This window comes from Homo sapiens, chromosome 1 (genome assembly GCF_000001405.40).
Source record: "Homo sapiens chromosome 1, GRCh38.p14 Primary Assembly".
NCBI classification, from domain to species: domain Eukaryota; kingdom Metazoa; phylum Chordata; class Mammalia; order Primates; family Hominidae; genus Homo; species Homo sapiens.
In genome coordinates, this window is record NC_000001.11 from 148,955,340 (window position 1) to 148,973,450 (window position 18,111).

The 18,111-nt window shown below is 37.8% G+C and overlaps 1 protein-coding gene across 40 annotated transcripts in view; it reads left to right on the forward strand.

Annotated features, from left to right (window-relative positions):
- Positions 1–18,111, forward strand: part of PDE4DIP (phosphodiesterase 4D interacting protein) — a 224,583-nt gene that overhangs the window by 146,906 nt on the left and 59,566 nt on the right. For 39 of the 40 annotated variants that reach the window (NM_001377392.2, NM_001350521.4, NM_001395298.1 and 36 more), the window contains 11 exons: positions 5,315–5,446; positions 6,498–6,617; positions 6,857–6,949; positions 7,089–7,301; positions 10,145–10,303; positions 11,204–11,317; positions 11,500–11,637; positions 12,387–12,566; positions 13,497–13,691; positions 16,841–17,005; positions 17,172–17,253. In NM_001377392.2, the coding sequence (NP_001364321.1) occupies positions 5,315–5,446; positions 6,498–6,617; positions 6,857–6,949; positions 7,089–7,301; positions 10,145–10,303; positions 11,204–11,317; positions 11,500–11,637; positions 12,387–12,566; positions 13,497–13,691; positions 16,841–17,005; positions 17,172–17,253 (1,591 nt within the window). The remainder of the gene's footprint in view (positions 1–5,314; positions 5,447–6,497; positions 6,618–6,856; positions 6,950–7,088; positions 7,302–10,144; positions 10,304–11,203; positions 11,318–11,499; positions 11,638–12,386; positions 12,567–13,496; positions 13,692–16,840; positions 17,006–17,171; positions 17,254–18,111) is intronic. The other variant, NM_001395324.1, reaches the window with a different exon arrangement.

The window sequence follows — 18,111 nt, forward strand, 5'->3', positions numbered from 1 at the left end:
CACCAAATATGACCAATATTGTAGAACGTTACATAAAGACTGAGAAAATAACAGCCAAAACAAGATCTTTTTTTCTCCGTATTTAAATAAAATACTATATTTTGGTGACTGGATTTTGGAGTGGAGAAGGATTTTAAAGATCATCTTCAGGCAGTCTCTCAATTTGGAGATATGGAAAGTTCCTTGTTTAACTAACGTAGCCCATGCAGAGACAAAGATTTCTGACCATTCTCAGGCAAGACACTTTAATTCTATACATTAAACCCCATTGTCTGAAGTATATTAATTTAAGTAAGTACTTATTTTAAACCAGGAGCCCTCTTTCTCTAACCTAAGGATGCTCGGAGGATTCTTTAGAGATTATGTGAAAAAAATTGTCATCTGAATGAACACATATAAACTATGGTAACTGTATCTTCAGGTCAAGTCCCTTTACTTCACTAAATTTGGACATTAGAGCTTTAAGATGGTAGTGTATGACCTTTCTGCTGTGACTTGACTTACATTGTTTACTGTTTCTAGAAAAACAAAAATTAGGAGGTGGGAGAAAATGTCATTCAGCTTCAAGAAATGTGGCATTTAATTATTATGCCATTTTCTCTAATAATTTAGGATGTCAGGGAAAATAGATGAATTGGGCCCAACATGTTTGTAAATAAAATGGGCGGTGTATCTATTGTTTAAATCTGGTTACTTTTAAGCTCCTTAAGAGCCTTATGACAAAACCAGTGCTAGATGGGACAATGGCAGACTGGTTTTTGTCTATTTCTCTGAACAAATATGGAAAGAATAGAAATAATATAATTTTTTTTGGTAGTTCTCTTTTTTAGTTTGTAGAAACACGAAACCATGAAAGAAAAAAATGTTTCCTTTAGTTCAGTTCTGCCACAAATATGGAGAAAACCTTTTATCTTAAAGAGCAAGATTGTTCTGTAAGGTTATTTTGATTCCTTTGTTTAATCCTCCACTTACCATATTTTATGCACTATTAAATATTGACATCAGGATTCCTCCTGATTGCTTTTCCTCTTTTTTTTCTTTCCTTCTTTCCGTCTTTTTCTTTGTTCCTTTCTTATTTATTAAAGAAAAATAGCAACAGTGTAGTTCTGCTTACTGATATTCTGATATTATACAAAGTAATTTATTTCCCTTCTACAGAATTTATGTATGAGGACCTAAGGCTGTTCAGATATCTAAAGAAAGGTTTGAAGCCTTCTTCTAGCTGGTAATTCCCTTCTTTATTGTCTGGCCCTGAACTAGAAAAGCTATGATGGGAGGGATGTGGTCCCTTAGTAAACAGCAATGAGCTCTGGCCCATGTGCAATTTCCCTTTCTATCTAAATTCAAAGAACAGAAGATCTTTGCCTTAAACCTTGCAATGCCAAGGTCTGCTCCTTTGTGACTATGGTAAATTTATCCCACTCTTATTTTAGTTATGTGAAGTGGATCAGGCCCTTTGGAAGATGTTGGCATTAGATGCTGGTAAAAGATTAGGCCTTTAATTTTATGGTAGTCAATGGTTCTTGTCTGTCTCCTATTATTAACAATAGGGTTGACAATTATAGCAGTTTGAGATCTATAACTCACTACTGTGAGGACTAGAAAGTGCCAAGAAAACTGCTGTTAACACAAAAAGTCTAAAAACTGGCCTTAGCCTAAAAAAAAGTCTCATATTGTGCAACACTAGGCCTGGAAGCGGTTCTCTTTTCTGATACTGGAAAGCCTTTGTCCTAATTCTGAGTCAAAAGTGACTTAATTTAAAATTATATTATCATTTCCACATGATTTTAGTACCTGAGTGTCTAGAGAGTAACACTGATTCTACCAAATCAGGTATTACTTATTTCATGGGCTACACTATCATTGTAGGAGTGACTGTTTTATGTACTTGATACTTCACAAGAATTCATTATGTTGTTGGCTTAGTGGGACTTGCTAAGTGCTCTTTCAGCAGACTGTTACCTGCAAGGACATTTTTCTGAGATGCAAAATAGTAAATTATTACAAATAAAGAAGAAACAAATATCTTCCAACTTTTAGGTCAGTACATTATTTATAGAAAAAGAGGTTTCTTATTATTATTCATGTCAAGATTGATTCATATGAGATTCAAATACATTATGTATTTTCCTGTGGCATTCTTTGGCTTTAAAGTTGCTGTTCGAATATATGTTATATACAGTCTTATTTCTAAGAGAGCCACTAAAGGCTCGTTTTTGTTTGTTTTTATTGTTCTTATTTGTTCATTAAACAAAAACTTTTGATCTCTGCAGTATTCCCGGCATTATGGTAGGCAATGGGTTTATAGAAATGAGAGATACATTCCCAACCTGAGTGGAAATCCAGTTCAGTTTAATTGGATCTTTTTCCTGATTTCCCATGAAACCTTGGACTAATTACTTCTCTAAGTTTCCATTTCCTTGTATGTAAAATAGGATTGGATCAGATGGTTAGTTTATAAAGTTTCCTTCACCACTGTAAGATTGTTTGGTTTAAAGTAAATAAATATGACCACCTTCCTTGCCATTTTAAACTTGAAGCTATTTTCTTTAATTCTGCCTGTTGTAGTTTGAATTTCAAAGTATCTTACTGTAGGTGTTACTGTTGTTTTACGCTGAAGAAGTAAGAAGCCAAATTTTATAGAGATGGTTTTATCATTAAGTAAATGATGAATTTATTTATTAGTTAGAATCATTGTAAACATCTATTAATGTGGTTACTTTGCCCATGGTGTGACATAGTTCATATTGCCTCAGGTGAAGGCTTCCTGTTATACTCACAACAACAAATATCTCAAATAATTTTTCCAGAAGTCATTATCCTTGCTGCTTTTTTCCCTCTCCCTCTATCCAGTCCACCAGCAAGTCCTGTTAGCTATACTTTCAAAACATATCCATATCTATCCATTTATTTCCCCCTCCCTTTACTAACCACCAGGATCCAAGCTACTATTGTCTTTCACCTGCACTACCGCAGCAGCCTCCTACCTGGTCTCTCTGCTTCTCTTGGTGCTCCCCAATAATTCATTCACCACAGCATGATCTTTTCAAAACTTCTGTATGATTACCTGTTAAAAAACTGCAGTCTATTCTCATTTCAATTAAAATGAAATCCAGTTCATTAACTTTGTTGTCTGAAGCTGGATGTGACCTGGTGCCTGCCTGCCTCTCCACCTCATTGAGTTTCCCTGTCCCCTTTGCCCACTATGCTCTAGCCCTGTGCTATCCAGTAAGCTAGCCACTAGTCTTAGGAGCTGTTGAACCCTTGAAATGTGGCTAGTCCAAATTGAGATGTGCTGTGAGTATAAAATATACCTTGAATTTCAGACTTATGAAAAATCATGTAATATTATCTCAGATAATAATGTTATCTCATTAATAATTTTTATATTATTTACATGTTTATGATAACATTTTGGATATATTGGGTTAAATAAAATATTTTGTTAAAATTAAGTTTACCTATTTATTTTGTACTTTGTTCATTGAAGCTACTAGAAAATTAAAAATTACATACATGGCTCACATTATATTTCTACTGGAGAGTGCTATTCTAGCCACAGAGGCCTTTCTCTTTTCCAGGCTCATATTCCATTAGCTGTTCTTTCTGCCTGGATTGTTCTGCTGATCTTTGCAGGACTGATTCTTTTTCCTTCAGATATCTATTTAAATGCTGCCTCATAAAGACCTTTCTCTGATCAAACAATTTAGGGTAATTTAACCACCCACTCTGTATTATGCTTTCCTGTTTTGCCGCACAGGGCTTGTCCATAATATTTTTTGCATTTCCTTGTTTGTTTATCATGTACTCCCCACTCCAACCCCTGCAAAATATAAGTTTCAAGAGCACAGGGACTTTGTCTTGCATGATACTCTATCTTCAAGACAGTGCCTAGCACATAGTTAGTGTGCAACAGATATATGTTATGTCAGCATTGTATTCCTCACAGTGCCTCACATGGTGCTTTGCTTATTATAGCATTTAGTAGGTGTTAGAAAAGTTGATAAATAGCACTGGAGGAATAGAAGAGATTTTTCTTCTGCAATTTTTATGCTTCCAGTCAGTTGCTGGCAGGAAGGGATTTAAGGTAAGCTGTAACTCCACTGCCTTGAAAGTGGTAATCAAGTCTGAAAGTGTGAGGGAAACAAAAAATGAATAGCAGTTGCCTTTTCTCTCTTAATGAGTTTATATTCCTAATTGGAATGGAAGCAGGTATGGAGGCGGGAAGATCAAATTTAATTGCCGCAGTAAATTTGTAGTTTTATTTTAACATCCTTAGCTTGTAATGATTACTAAGAATAGTTCAATAAGTTTATCTTATTGTCCCATATATAAATCATTGTTCCATATATAAATTGTCCCATATATAAAATCATACTTTTTTCTCCTGAATCTTTTAAGTGAATTGATATTCCTATAAAATATATCTCTTTCCCATTTCACTATGGATTATTTATCTGTGCTTATGCTATAAATCTGCCTTTAGGCACATCTATTTTAAATTTATTTTAATTTTTCTCTTTTTATTTTGAAATAATTTCAAACGTACAGAGATGTTATAAGAGAAATACCAAGAACTCCCATATACCCTTTACCCAGATTTACCAGTTGCAAATATTTTGTCACATTTGCTTTATAAACTCTCCCACTGTCTGTATTTGCACAGTATTTTTTAAAAATTCTTGAACCATTTGAGAATTAGTTGTAGATAGTATACTCCTTTACCCTAAATACTTAAGCATTATTTCTTAAGGACAAGGACATCTCTTATATAATTACAGTACAATTATCAAATTTAGAAAATTAGACATTGATAAAATACTGTTACCTAATATATAGTCCATATCAAAATCTGCCAATTTTTTCCAATAATGTGAAACAAGCATGTTGTAAGAAAGGTAGCCGGAATGTAACTTCTCTCAGGAAGTGTAAGTTTGATGAGTATGCCTTTTCAACTCCTTGATTAAAAATAGAATAAAGCAAATATTTGGTCATTGTAAGCATTTCCTTTATTAAATCCTCCCCTTCTCATTGAACTCTGAATTACTTGCTTTCGCTGAATAAACATGTAGTGTTTGTGTGAATTGGTACAGAAAAGTGGAGAGGGAAGCTGGGGAGCATAGTACAAATGGAGGTGAATCAGTGTTCTTAATAAGGAACAGACCTGTCTTTAGGAATTCATACTGATAATTTATGCAACAAATCTGATTCTCTAAATCTCTGGCAAAAGATGCAACAGACATTTTTGAAGACAAAAAAAAAATTTTGTTGGCCATGTTTAACTCACCTTACTCGTTTTGCCGTTTCTTCCTAGCCCATGACTGAAGAGTTGCTGAAACAACAAAAGCTGAATTCACATGAGACCACTATAACTCAGCAGTCTGTATCTGATTCCCACTTGGCAGAACTCCAGGAAAAAATCCAGCAAACAGAGGCCACCAACAAGGTATGATTAGTACTATGCCCTAGGAGATGACAAGGTTTTCCTGAGGATGTGACTGGCTCTAGCCTGAGTCTGTCAACCTTTGTAGGACTTGGGAGATGAATACTGTGTACTCCTTGTGCTCTAGGGAATATTTCATGTAAAAGTGTAGTTCTTCTCTTTATTCTTATGAAGATTTTAGCTTGTTCTGTACAGATCATAATTTCTGGTGCTTTTCAGGTGTGTAATTAAAACTTGCATGCAGGCCGGCGCAGTGGCTCATGCCTGTAATGCCAGTGCTTTGGGAGGCCAAGGCAGGCGGATCACGAGGTCAGGAGTTCGAGACCAGCCTGGCCAACATGGTGAAACCCTGTCTCTACTAAAAAATAAAAAAAAATTAGCCAGGCGTTGTGGCAGACACCTGTAATCCCACCTACTCGGGAGGCTGAGGCAAGACAATCGCTTGAACGCAGGAGGTGGATGTTGCAGTGAGCCAGGACCATGCCACTGCACTCAGGCCTGGGCAACAGAGAGAGACTCTGTCTCAAAAAAACACTTGCATGCAGTCTTCCACTGTAAAAGGCACTGAGATAGGAGGTCTGTGTTTTTTATTTTAGCTTAACTTGTTACTACTTTCTAGCCCATGAATTTTAATGTCTGGCTTAGAAGAAAATTGCTACAATTTGGGATGCTGAACTTGTGGCCTGGGTGCCCTTATAGTGCCCTCTCCTATGCTAGATAGCAGAAGCTCTTTGGTCCTTGTATAAGGGATCCATATTAGAAACCACTTGCCTACTTGGTCCATGTGGACAAGTTCCTAGTATGGCTGCCATCATAGAGAGATCACAGTGCGTGAAAATTGAGACAATTTAGTATTGAAGGAAGTATTTCATTTCTCCTGCTACTTTTTGTTGCTGATTGACTTACCACTTTAATGGTTACTCTATGTAGGAAAAATAACAAGGTAATATCCCCTAAGAAATTCTTTAAATCCTAGATTTGAGGAAAGGCTTTATTCATTTGAGGCTAAAAGACATCATTGACCTAAAAAACTGTTTTTCTTTGCTGAATTCAGATTCTTCAAGAGAAACTTAATGAAATGAGCTATGAACTAAAGTGTGCTCAGGAGTCGTCTCAAAAGCAAGATGGTACAATTCAGAACCTCAAGGAAACTCTGAAAAGCAGGGAACGTGAGGTAACATATTTACCAATCAAGGACCTGTGTGGAAACAATTGGTCCCTTCAAAGTAGACAAGTATTTTATATTTTGTCAAAATGGATATTGTCAGACTAGCATGTCTTAGCCTGGAGAAGTTGTAGCTTAATCTCAATTGATATTTTGGAATAGTCCTGTTACTAAAATGTGTACAGGTGATATAATGGAATTTATAATTAGTTTACTAACATATTTGATATTCCCTCTCTCATTTTCAGACTGAGGAGTTGTACCAGGTAATTGAAGGTCAAAATGACACAATGGCAAAGCTTCGAGAAATGCTGCACCAAAGCCAGCTTGGACAACTTCACGTATGTGAGGGTCACGTAGGACAGGAGAGACTTCAGTTGGGGATGTGCCATTTTGGTTGCAGTCTTGATTTTATTTTTAGTCTTTGTGGGAGCTCAGTGCTTGCCCTCCTTGTGATTGTGATTTCTACTCTCTTTTCAGAGCTCAGAGGGTACTTCTCCAGCTCAGCAACAGGTAGCTCTGCTTGATCTTCAGAGTGCTTTATTCTGCAGCCAACTTGAAATACAGAAGCTCCAGAGGGTGGTACGACAGAAAGAGCGCCAACTGGCTGATGCCAAACAATGTGTGCAATTTGTAGAGGCTGCAGCACACGAGAGTGAACAGCAGAAAGAGGCTTCTTGGAAACATAACCAGGTAAATCATTAACTATTTTATTGCCCTAAATGCTGACTTTGCCCTGATCATAACTTTTTAGCAGGACAGTTTGTGTTGAACCCTTGAGTCAGTTGCATAATCTAAGTATTTCAGTTCAACACTTGCTGCCCTTGTACCATATGCTAGTTACAGTAGTCCCTCTTTATCCACAGTTTCACTTTCCATGGTTTCAGTTATCTGGGGTCAACCACAGACAAAAAACATTAAGATATTTTAAGAGAGACCACATTCACGTAACTTTTCTTTTTTGAGACAGAGTCTCGCTCTGTCGCCAAGGTTGGAGTGCAGTGGCGCGATCTCCGCTCACTGCAACCTCCGCCTCCTGTATTCATGCCATTCTCCCACTTCAGCCTCCAGAGTAGCTGGGACTACAGGCGCCCGCCACCATGCCTGGCTAATGTTGTTTTTGTATTTTTGGTAGAGACAGGTTTTCATCGTGTTAGGATGGTCTCGATCTCCTGACCTCGTGATCTGCCCACCTTGGCCTCCCTCACGTAACTTTTGTTACAGCATGTTGTTATAATTCTTCTATTTTATTGTTATTGTTAATCTGTCAGTATGTGTAATTTGTATGTAAACCTTTATCATAGTTATCTATGCACAGGAAAAAACAGTATACACAGGCTTCAGTGCTATCTGGTTTCAGGCATCCACTGGGCGTCTTAGAATGTATCCCCTGTGGGTAAGGGGCGACTGCCGTATTGAGTTGTACCCTGGAAATACAAGGATGAATAGCACAGGCTCCTTTCTTTTAAGTTACTTATAGTTCAGTAAGAGAGACAGTCACATAAGCTGAGTTTCAGTGTGGTAAATTCTGAAGGGGATGTATATATGGGGTCCTACAGGAATATCTAGGAAAGGAGTCAAGGAAAAGGAATCAAGGAAAACTTCATGAAGGAGGAGACATCTGAGGTTATTCTTGAAGGATGGGTAAAACCAGGCAGAAAAGTGGGGAAGAACCACTAAGGTCAGAGGAATGACATGCATAATAATCAGCCCTGTTTTTTATTTTTTATTTTTGAATAATAAATATACGATTCTTTTCTTTTCTTTTCTTTTCTTTCTTTCCTCTCTCTTTCTTTCCTTCTTTTTTTTTTTTTTTTTTTTTTTGAGACAGAGTCTCGCTCTGTCGCCCAGGCTGGAGTACAGTGGCGCGATCTCGGCTCGCTGCAAGCTCCGCCTCTCGGGTTCACGCCATTCTCCTGCCTCAGCCTCCCAAGTAGCTGGGACTACAGGCACTGGCCGCCACCACGCCCGGCTAATTTTTTTTGCATTTTTAGTAGAGACAGGGTTTCATCGTGTTAGCCAGGATGGTCTCGATGTCCTGACCTCGTGATCCGCCCGCCTCAGCCTCCCAAAGTGCTGAGATTACAGGCGTGAGCCACTGCGCCCGGCCTCTTTCTTTCCTTCTTTCTCTCTCTCTCTTTCTTTTCTTTTCTTTCTTTCTTTCATTTTTTTTTTTTTTGAGACAGAGTTTTGCTCTTGTTGCCCAGGCTGGAGTGCAACGACACAATCTCGGCTCACTGCAACCTCCACCTCCCGGGTTCAAGCGATTCTCCTGCTTCAGCCTCCTGGTAGCTGGGATTACAGGCATGCGCCACCACGCCTGGCTAATTTTGTATTTTTAGTAGAGACAGGGTTTCTCCATGTTGGTCAGGTTGGTCTCAAACTCCCGACCTCTGGTGATCTGCCCACCTTGGCCTTCCAAAGTGGTGAGATTACAGGCGTGAGCCACCACGCTGGGCCAAAATACACAACTCTTAAATGGTTCCTTTATCTTGTTAGGTCAGAGTGTATGTGTTTGTTTAAGATTTAAAAGATTTTTTTGTGTGTGGTCTCTTCTTAAGCTCTTTAACACTCAGGTTTAAAAGTAATTTTTGAAGGATCTCCCTGGTTTAGTGGTTTGGAGATCAAATATTAGCCCTGAATTTCCTTTTGAAATATTAAAATTTTGGCTGGGCACAGTGGCTCACGCCTGTAATCCCAGCACTTTGGGAGGCCGAGGTGGGTGGATCATGTGGTCAGTAGTTCAAGACCAGCCTGGCCAAGATGGTGAAACCCCGTCTCTACTAAAAATACAAAAATTAGCCCAGCGTGGTGGCAGGAGCCTTTAATCCCAGCTACTTGGGAGGCTGAGGCACAGAAATGCTTGAACCCGGAAGGCGGAGGTTGCAGTGAGCCGAGATTGTACCACTGCACTTCAGCATGGGCAACAGAGTGAGACTCCATCTCAAAAAAAAGAAATATTAAAATTTCAGATGTCTGGGCAGGGTCGGGGAGTGGTGGAGGGATGGAGGTAGAAATAATTCTTAACTTTTTGTTATTTAGCTAAAGGAAACATTTCCCCAAGATTTGTTTAGTTGAGAATATGTATTTGGTAGCTTTCTAAAGTAACAGATGATTTAAAGATTACTGACTTTATTATTAGAAAAATAAATATGGCAAACTAAGAAAGAAGAGTGATGGTCTCTATGAGATCTTTAGAAAAAAGGATGATAGGAATAGTTTATCCTTGAGCTTATTGTAAATAATCCAGGTTTACCGTAGGACAGATTCTCACTTAATGGTTCTATAGATGTATTCTTTTTAAGCCAAAAAATAAGTATTGAACTATAATATCAAGCTTACTTCCTACCCCATTCACAACTTTTACAATTTTCCATATCCTATTCAATTCATGTATAATACTTCTATAGCAATTTTAATAATGGCACCCTCTGCTCCTCTTTCAGTTTATATACCTTGAAAATTTTAAGGCCTCTGTATCTAATAACCATGTGACAATTTTAGATCTCTTTAAAAAGGTAATATGTTTAATTCAGGAATTGCGAAAAGCCTTGCAGCAGCTACAAGAAGAATTGCAGAATAAGAGCCAACAGCTTCGTGCCTGGGAGGCTGAAAAATACAATGAGATTCGAACCCAGGAACAAAACATCCAGCACCTAAACCATAGTCTGAGTCACAAGGAGCAGTTGCTTCAGGTGAGTTTACATGATTTCAATGAAAACTGGGCTCATAGAACTCTGAAATTTGTTTATATAATTTTAAGATATTAATCCACCTGTGCTGAGTCCCTGCCATATGGAAAACATTGAGAGAGGTGGGAATCAGGAGGATTTAAAATAAATAGAAAATATAATTTGTGAATTAAGATGCTTACTAACAAGTATAAGAAACAGTACATATAGCCCTGACTTAAGCAGTCTTTTATGAAGTCTTTTATAAAGACTTAATATTCAGAAAATAGTTATTAAGCACCTCTGTGAATCAAACACTTTTCTGGGTGTTGGGAAGACAAAAGATTTGGCTACTGATCTCAGTTTAATAGATGAAGACAAACTGTACAGAAACTTCCACAGAGTAATTTTGATGATAGAATAAAAGTTTGAGGGGAAGATGGAGCATTAAGAAGAGACTGATCTGTTCTGCCACCTACTCTAAGCTTCAGTCACATTGAATCCACTACATTTCACTGAATGTACAATTTTTTCATTGTATGCATAGTGTGCATATTTTTTTTTCTCTAACGTATCCTCCTCTCCCTTCTTCACTTAGGAAATCCTAGTCCTTTAATTAAGACTCACTGCAAATATTACCTCCTCTGTGAGGTCTTTACTGACACCTGCAGGCAGAGTTAGGCAGTGCATCCTGTGTTCCCCTGGTGGCTAGCGTATGTTGCAGAACAGTTAATTCTATGTGTTGTGTCTGTTGTATGTTGCAGAATAGTTTACAGTTTATATGTCTGTTATCTCTGCTAAACTTGTTACTTTTGAGGAGAGTGATCACATCTTGTTTTTTTTTTATCCTGAATAACTAGCAAATTACTTGGTAATTTAGTTAATATTGGATAAAAGAATAAAAGAAACTATTTTTGGTCTCAGGAATTTCGGGAGCTCCTACAGTATCGAGATAACTCAGACAAAACCCTTGAAGCAAATGAAATGTTGCTTGAGAAACTTCGCCAGCGAATACATGATAAAGCTGTTGCTCTGGAGGTATGTATCATCATTTCGCCCACTATGCTATGGATTATTCTATCTACATAGGTATTATAGAAATTTGTGTTTGCTTAAATTTGCTGCTTTGGGATTTGGTTTTCTATTCTGCCATCTTGTTGAATAAGAGTGATCAGGATAGTAAATCTTACAGAGCTTTAGGAGTCTTCCTTTCCTTGCAGCGGGCTATAGATGAAAAATTCTCTGCTCTAGAAGAGAAAGAAAAAGAACTGCGCCAGCTTCGTCTTGCTGTGAGAGAGCGAGATCATGACTTAGAGAGACTGCGCGATGTCCTCTCCTCCAATGAAGCTACTATGCAAGTAAGAGCAAAACCTATCTCTGACTTGGTGTTCCTCTCCCACTTGTATCCTGAGCCTGAAGCATGACCCCCTTCCATCATTTTCTGAAAACCAGGGATTTTGCTTTATAAGGGGGAAGAAAACCAAAAAGAGCAGTTACTAGTTCCATCATTGTCAATTAGCAAGTGAGAGATTTTAGCGCTTCTACTTTTCTTTTGTAATATGAACTTTGTGAGGAGAGCCAGTAAATATTGATTTCTGTTTACATAGTTCTGATTTATTTCCAATTCTTGTTCATACATAAGTATACATACACACACGCTCTTCTCTCTCTCTCTTACTTTTACTGAAGCATTACCAGGGTGCAATTATTAAATTGTGTCTTCTACATTAATATTATCTACATGTCCATGAATTGCCATAATTAGAACACTTGTTTATCTATATTTACTGTGGACTTTTTTGCATATTTATTTTAGAGCTTATGTATCTATCTGCCACTTTTTCGAGAAATCCTTTATAGCATAGTGCACTTCCTCCAAAATACTTCCTTTTATCATATATTCTATATTTAATCTCTCCACAAACTAGATAAAAGTTTCTAAAAACCAAAAAAATAGATTAGTATGGCATTGTTAGATCAATGTTCTCATCTTGCAAATAAAAAAAAATTGATGGGAGATTATTTAAAAGTGGATCTAATTTCTTGTTTATCCTGAGGAGTATGGGGTAATCATTTTGACTGATTATTGCTCTCTTTATGGCTGTAGAGTATGGAGAGTCTCCTGAGGGCCAAAGGCCTGGAAGTGGAACAGTTATCTACTACCTGTCAAAACCTCCAGTGGCTGAAAGAAGAAATGGAAACCAAATTTAGCCGTTGGCAGAAGGAACAAGAGAGTATCATTCAGCAGTTACAGACGTCTCTTCATGATAGGAACAAAGAAGTGGAGGCAAGACTTCAGTTAACTTTAAGGCAGTTGGTTCAGTGATTATGTAATCTCAGCCTTGGATTAGGACTCTTCAGATTGGGAGGACTGTGACCCAAGTCTTTAATTTCATTCTGTGCCTGGGCAAGTCATTGACTTTCACTGGGATTTTTTTTTTCCCCACGTCTAGAAACTTAAGTTGGCAATTAACTTTCTCAAAGAACTTATGTGAGAATTAATGAGACCCAAAAATTGCATCTTTAACATGATAGCTAACCTTTATTAGTTATAGTCTTCATGCTGGGTCAGGTACTGTTTTAAGATCCTAATGGATATTAACTCATTGGATCCTCACAAGTCCATGAGGTACTTTCTATTATTCCTTTTTATAGAGGAGGAAACAGACTTCTGAAGCTAAGTAACTTGTCCAAGCTAACATAGCTAATAAGTAGCAGATCCAGTATCAACCTAGGCAGTATGGCTCCATTCCTCCACCATGTGCCATCAGTTAGTACAGAAATAGAAACCATCGCTATGATAGCAAATATAGTGTTTAGTATTCCTTTCAGCTTATCGTTTTATGCTTCCCCCTGTTAAGTTACACTGGGGAGAAAACAAATAAATGAACTGAGTGTCCATTTATCCTCATCTAACATTAATTGTTACATGCCCTGAACAAATAGGAAAAAGACTTATTTCAGAAAACAATATGTATGTAAGTGGCCACCAGAGATAGTTTTCTGTATGGTTTGTATTCATTCCTGGGACATGTATTTAGAGACTTCTGTGTAGCAGGCCTGTGCTAGATCTGGTAAAACAAAAATGAGTAAAACATGATACTTATTCTCAAGAATCTCACACCTCCTTCTTCTATGATAGATTCTTATAAGCCCTTTGATATTTAGCAGAGGCATTTCTTTCCTCCAGAAGCTTACAGTGTCCTTTCTGCATTAGGATCTTAGTGCAACACTGCTCTGCAAACTTGGACCAGGGCAGAGTGAGATAGCAGAGGAGCTGTGCCAGCGTCTACAGCGAAAGGAAAGGATGCTGCAGGACCTTCTAAGTGATCGAAATAAACAAGTGCTGGAACATGAAATGGAGATTCAAGGCCTGCTTCAGTCTGTGAGCACCAGGGAGCAGGAAAGCCAAGTAAGGATTAATGCACAGATCAGACAAGTGTCATGTAGTGCATTTATAGTCTGCAAATAGGAAGCATTTGCAGACTATAGATGTGTGTATATTTATATATTTTACCGTCAACTCTGTTAGTTTCTTTCCTTCTATTTATTACCTAAACCACAGTTTTATTTATTTACTTACTTATTTAGAGATGGGGGTTTCGCTGTGTTGCACAGGCTGGTCTCAAACTCCTGGGCTCAAGCAATCATCCTGCCTTGGCTTCCCAAAGTGCTGGGACTATACGTGTGAGCTGCTGCGCCTGGCCTTAGACCACAGTTTTACATTAATCATCAAAGTATGACACATTTCTTGAAAACCTTGCATTTGGAAGGGTGCCTAAACAATACATGTATCCATTAACTTCATTACATACATTTTCTTTTCCTTAATAATCTGATAATTTTGAGAGAAAGGAGTAGGGGTTGTGAGTGTTTCGATTTTGATTCTAAATTGTTAAGACTTGAGTGATATTTTGCATTTCCAGTCAAGGTATGGGAAAACTTACACTCAACATGTTTACTCTTAGTTTTTGTAAAATCTGAGTTAAGAGGGAAAAAAGATCGCATTTTTCAGAGGTCATGGTGAGAATAAACAATCTCATAATAGTACAGGGTATATTAATTTCACAATATTTAAGAAGTAAATTCTTTTTTTTTTTTTTTTTTGAGATGGCATCTCCCTCTGTCACCCAGCTGGAGTGCGATGGCGCAATCTTGGCTCACTGCAACCTCTGCCTCCTGGGTTCAAGCAATTCTTCTGCTTCAGCCTCCCAAGTAGCTGGGATTACAGGCATGCACCACCATGCCCGCTAAGTTTTGTATTTTTAGTAGAGATGGGGTTTCACCATGTTGGCCAGGCTGGCTTACGATTCCTGGCCTCAAGTGATCCACCCATCTCAGCCTCCCAAAGTGCTGGGATTACAGGCGTGAGCCACCATGCCCTGCCCATAGTAAAGTGTTAATTTTTCCTCATTTCTATGTGTTTTCTCCTCAAGGCTAAAAACTCTTAGTTGACTTGTGCTGCATTTCAGATACCAGTAGCTCAGAATCCCCGTAGTCAGTTTTTAGAGGAAGATAGACTCTTTTTTGCCTATGTTATTTGACCCCATAATATTTTCTTATGTTTTCTTATGTTGTGAAAGGATTATACTCCACTATTCTAATTGTTAGGCCCACTGAAGTAAATACACATCTTTCTAGAAAGGTCCTGCTGTGTGCTTCAGAAATTGTTTCTAAAATAGACCTAACAAAATTATTCTAAATTATTTAAATCTTTGGCAAGAGGCTAGGATCTTTGAGTTTTCTTTTTAACTTCTTTGTGATTTGGGACAATTGGTCTTTATTATACCTCAGAAAAAAAATTATGCACTGCTGGTAATAGAATAATGGAGATGATGGAAATTACAGGAGATTTTTCAACTCAAGAAGATTAATGGTTGTATTCTTCTAGATCTGCTTCTCTAAATTTACGTGCAAAAGAAATCACCTGAATAGCTTTTTAAAGATGTAGATTGTGGAGCTCAACTCCAGAGAAAGAAATTACGAGGTATAGGTGGGACTTAAGAATTTGCATTTCTAACAAGTTTCCAGGTGATAGTGATGCTGCAGGTTCGGGGACTGCATTGGAGGAGCACTGCTAAAAACTCTTAAATACTACGAGAAAAGGAGTGCCAAGGCAGATAGAGCACAGTATATATCTTGTATATTATTTATTATGTTTTTTCCCCACAGTTTTCACAGATATTTTTATTAAGGTACTTTAATAATATTCTGATACGTCTAAAATAGTTAAATTCAAATCTCCAAAGAGCCCAAATTTTACTTACTGAAAAGTGGAAGGTTTTTTCATATTTCCCCTAGAAATTGTGACAAGAGCTCAGCTTCTGCCCTAAAACAATAGTACTTTTCCTCAGAGACAGTTGGTGTTATGATTCATCATCTTAGACCCTCAGTAATTTTAATATCAATTTATTATTTCCAGATTTTCTGTTTAAATGCAGACTTCCTGTGCATTAATAGTTAAAAATGTTCTAGATCTTTCCCTTAGTGTGTCATCATCTGTCTTAGAAAACTGGGATTTGAAATGAAACAAGCTGAGTTGGGTGATTTTGAGGTTGAGATTATCCTAATCATGTGGTCTGATAAACATGTTTATGTGCGTAATTGATTCATTCAGTAAATATGTAGTGTGTGCCTATTATGTGCCAGACACCGTACTGGGTGCTTGAGATTCAGCACCAAATTGCCTTTAGGAAACTTACATTCCATGTAGGGGAAGCAGAGAGAGAGATCTATTAGATAATGGTAAGTGCATCGAAAAAAAATTAAGCACAGTAAGAAGTGTTGGAGATAGAGAAGAGATTGCTGGGTTTTAAAAAAAATTTTTTCCCAGCTTTATTAAAGTATAATTGACAAATATTGTATATACTCAAGGTGTACAGCATGATGTGTTGATATACATATACATTTTGAAGTGATTGCCACAAATTAACACATCCGTCACTACACATTTTATGCGTGTATGGTGAAACCACTTAAGATCTACTCTCTTAGCAAATTTCAAGTAAATAATACAGTATTATTAACTAAAGTCACCATGCTATCATTGGATCCCCAAAACATATTCATCTTATACTTTGGCCAGCAAGATTGCTGTTTTGGATAGGATACGCAGGAAAGACCAACCTGATAAGGTGACATTTGGCAAAGACCTGAAGGGAGCAAACCACACAAATGTTTGAGTGAAAAGGAATCCACCCCTAAGAAGCAACTATCCGAGAATAAAGACATTTGTTATACTAATTCAAACCAGAATCTTAACACCTTAGCCTGATAGTTGTAGCAGAACCTATTTCAGATTCTCTTATCTGTTACAGATGTGTTAAATTCAGTTTTTTTTCCCAATATTCTGCCTATGAGACTTTCTTTCCATTCACTTAACTCTGTTTTTCCCTGTAAACTGAAAGCAAGGAAACTATTTCCTAAGGACCCACTGTTTTTTGTTGTTGTCATTGTTGTTTGTTTTTTACAAATGGTTGACTTTGAAGAAATAATACCAGAACAAAAAATTTGTTTTACTAGAATATCTTTATAATGTTATTTGTGATTTCCTCTTACTAGGCTGCTGCAGAGAAGTTGGTGCAAGCCTTAATGGAAAGAAATTCAGAATTACAGGCCCTGCGCCAATATTTAGGAGGGAGAGACTCCCTGATGTCCCAAGCACCCATCTCTAACCAACAAGCTGAAGTTACCCCCACTGGCCGTCTTGGAAAACAGACTGATCAAGTAAGAACTATAGACTTACATAATTCATGCTGATTCCATTTCCTTTTTACATTTGAGGTGTAAGTTTGATAATTTTAATACCAAATTCTGAGAATATTCTCAGTACTGTCATTGTGATCATAGTTCCTGCATCTTCCTAAGTCCCCTGACTTTTGCAATTTTTTAGGGTTCAATGCAGATACCTTCCAGAGATGATAGCACTTCATTGACTGCCAAAGAGGATGTCAGCATACCCAGATCCACATTAGGTAAGTATCAAATTTCATTTCATTAAGGGACTTTGTTTTTCTCTTGTTTTTTCTTCTAGTAATCTCTGTATTATAGGTTTGGCCAAGACTCTTTTCTCTTCCTACCTTAATAGAACAAATAAGTTTGGAATTCCTCTGAAAGGCTGAAGAACTGTCCTTACCTTATGTTGAGTTGAGCTGATTGCTCTGGGTTCACAATTCGGCCCAGAGAAATTCTATCCTTACTCTCCTTTTCAGATAGCTTTGCAGGGATTCAGAAATGCAGGAGGTAATTGTTCCAATCCTGCACAGCAGGGCCATGAGCTGACACCTTTTCCTGGGTATCGTTTCAAGTCTGGGGCCACTCACTGTAACTTGACATCACCTACTAATGTTATATATATATATAATGTTAGCATAGTTTGATAGTTTCTGGCACAATAAGATGTTCTATGATTACCTTTTGCTTTACCTGCCTCAGTCCCAGAATCAGCCATTATCCTAAAGAGCTCCCTGGTTCCTTTTGGTGGGTAATGGCATTCAGAAACTATGATCTGGACACAAGATGTGTTCATTGCTACATGAATGCCTTTTGCTTCTAGGACCTTTTTTTTTTTTGAGACGGAGTCTCGCTCTGTCACCCAGGTGGGAGTGCAGTGGCACGATCTCTCTGCTCACCTCTCGAGTAGCTGGGACTACAGGCGCCAGCCACCACACCCAGCTAATTTTTTTGTATTTTTAGTAGAGACGGGGTTTCACCGTGTTAGCCAGGATGGTCTCAATCTCCTGACCTCGTGATCCGCCCTCCTCGGCCTCCCAAAGTACTGAGATTACAGATGTGAGCCACTGCGCCCAGCCGCTTCTAGGCCCTTTTAAGAG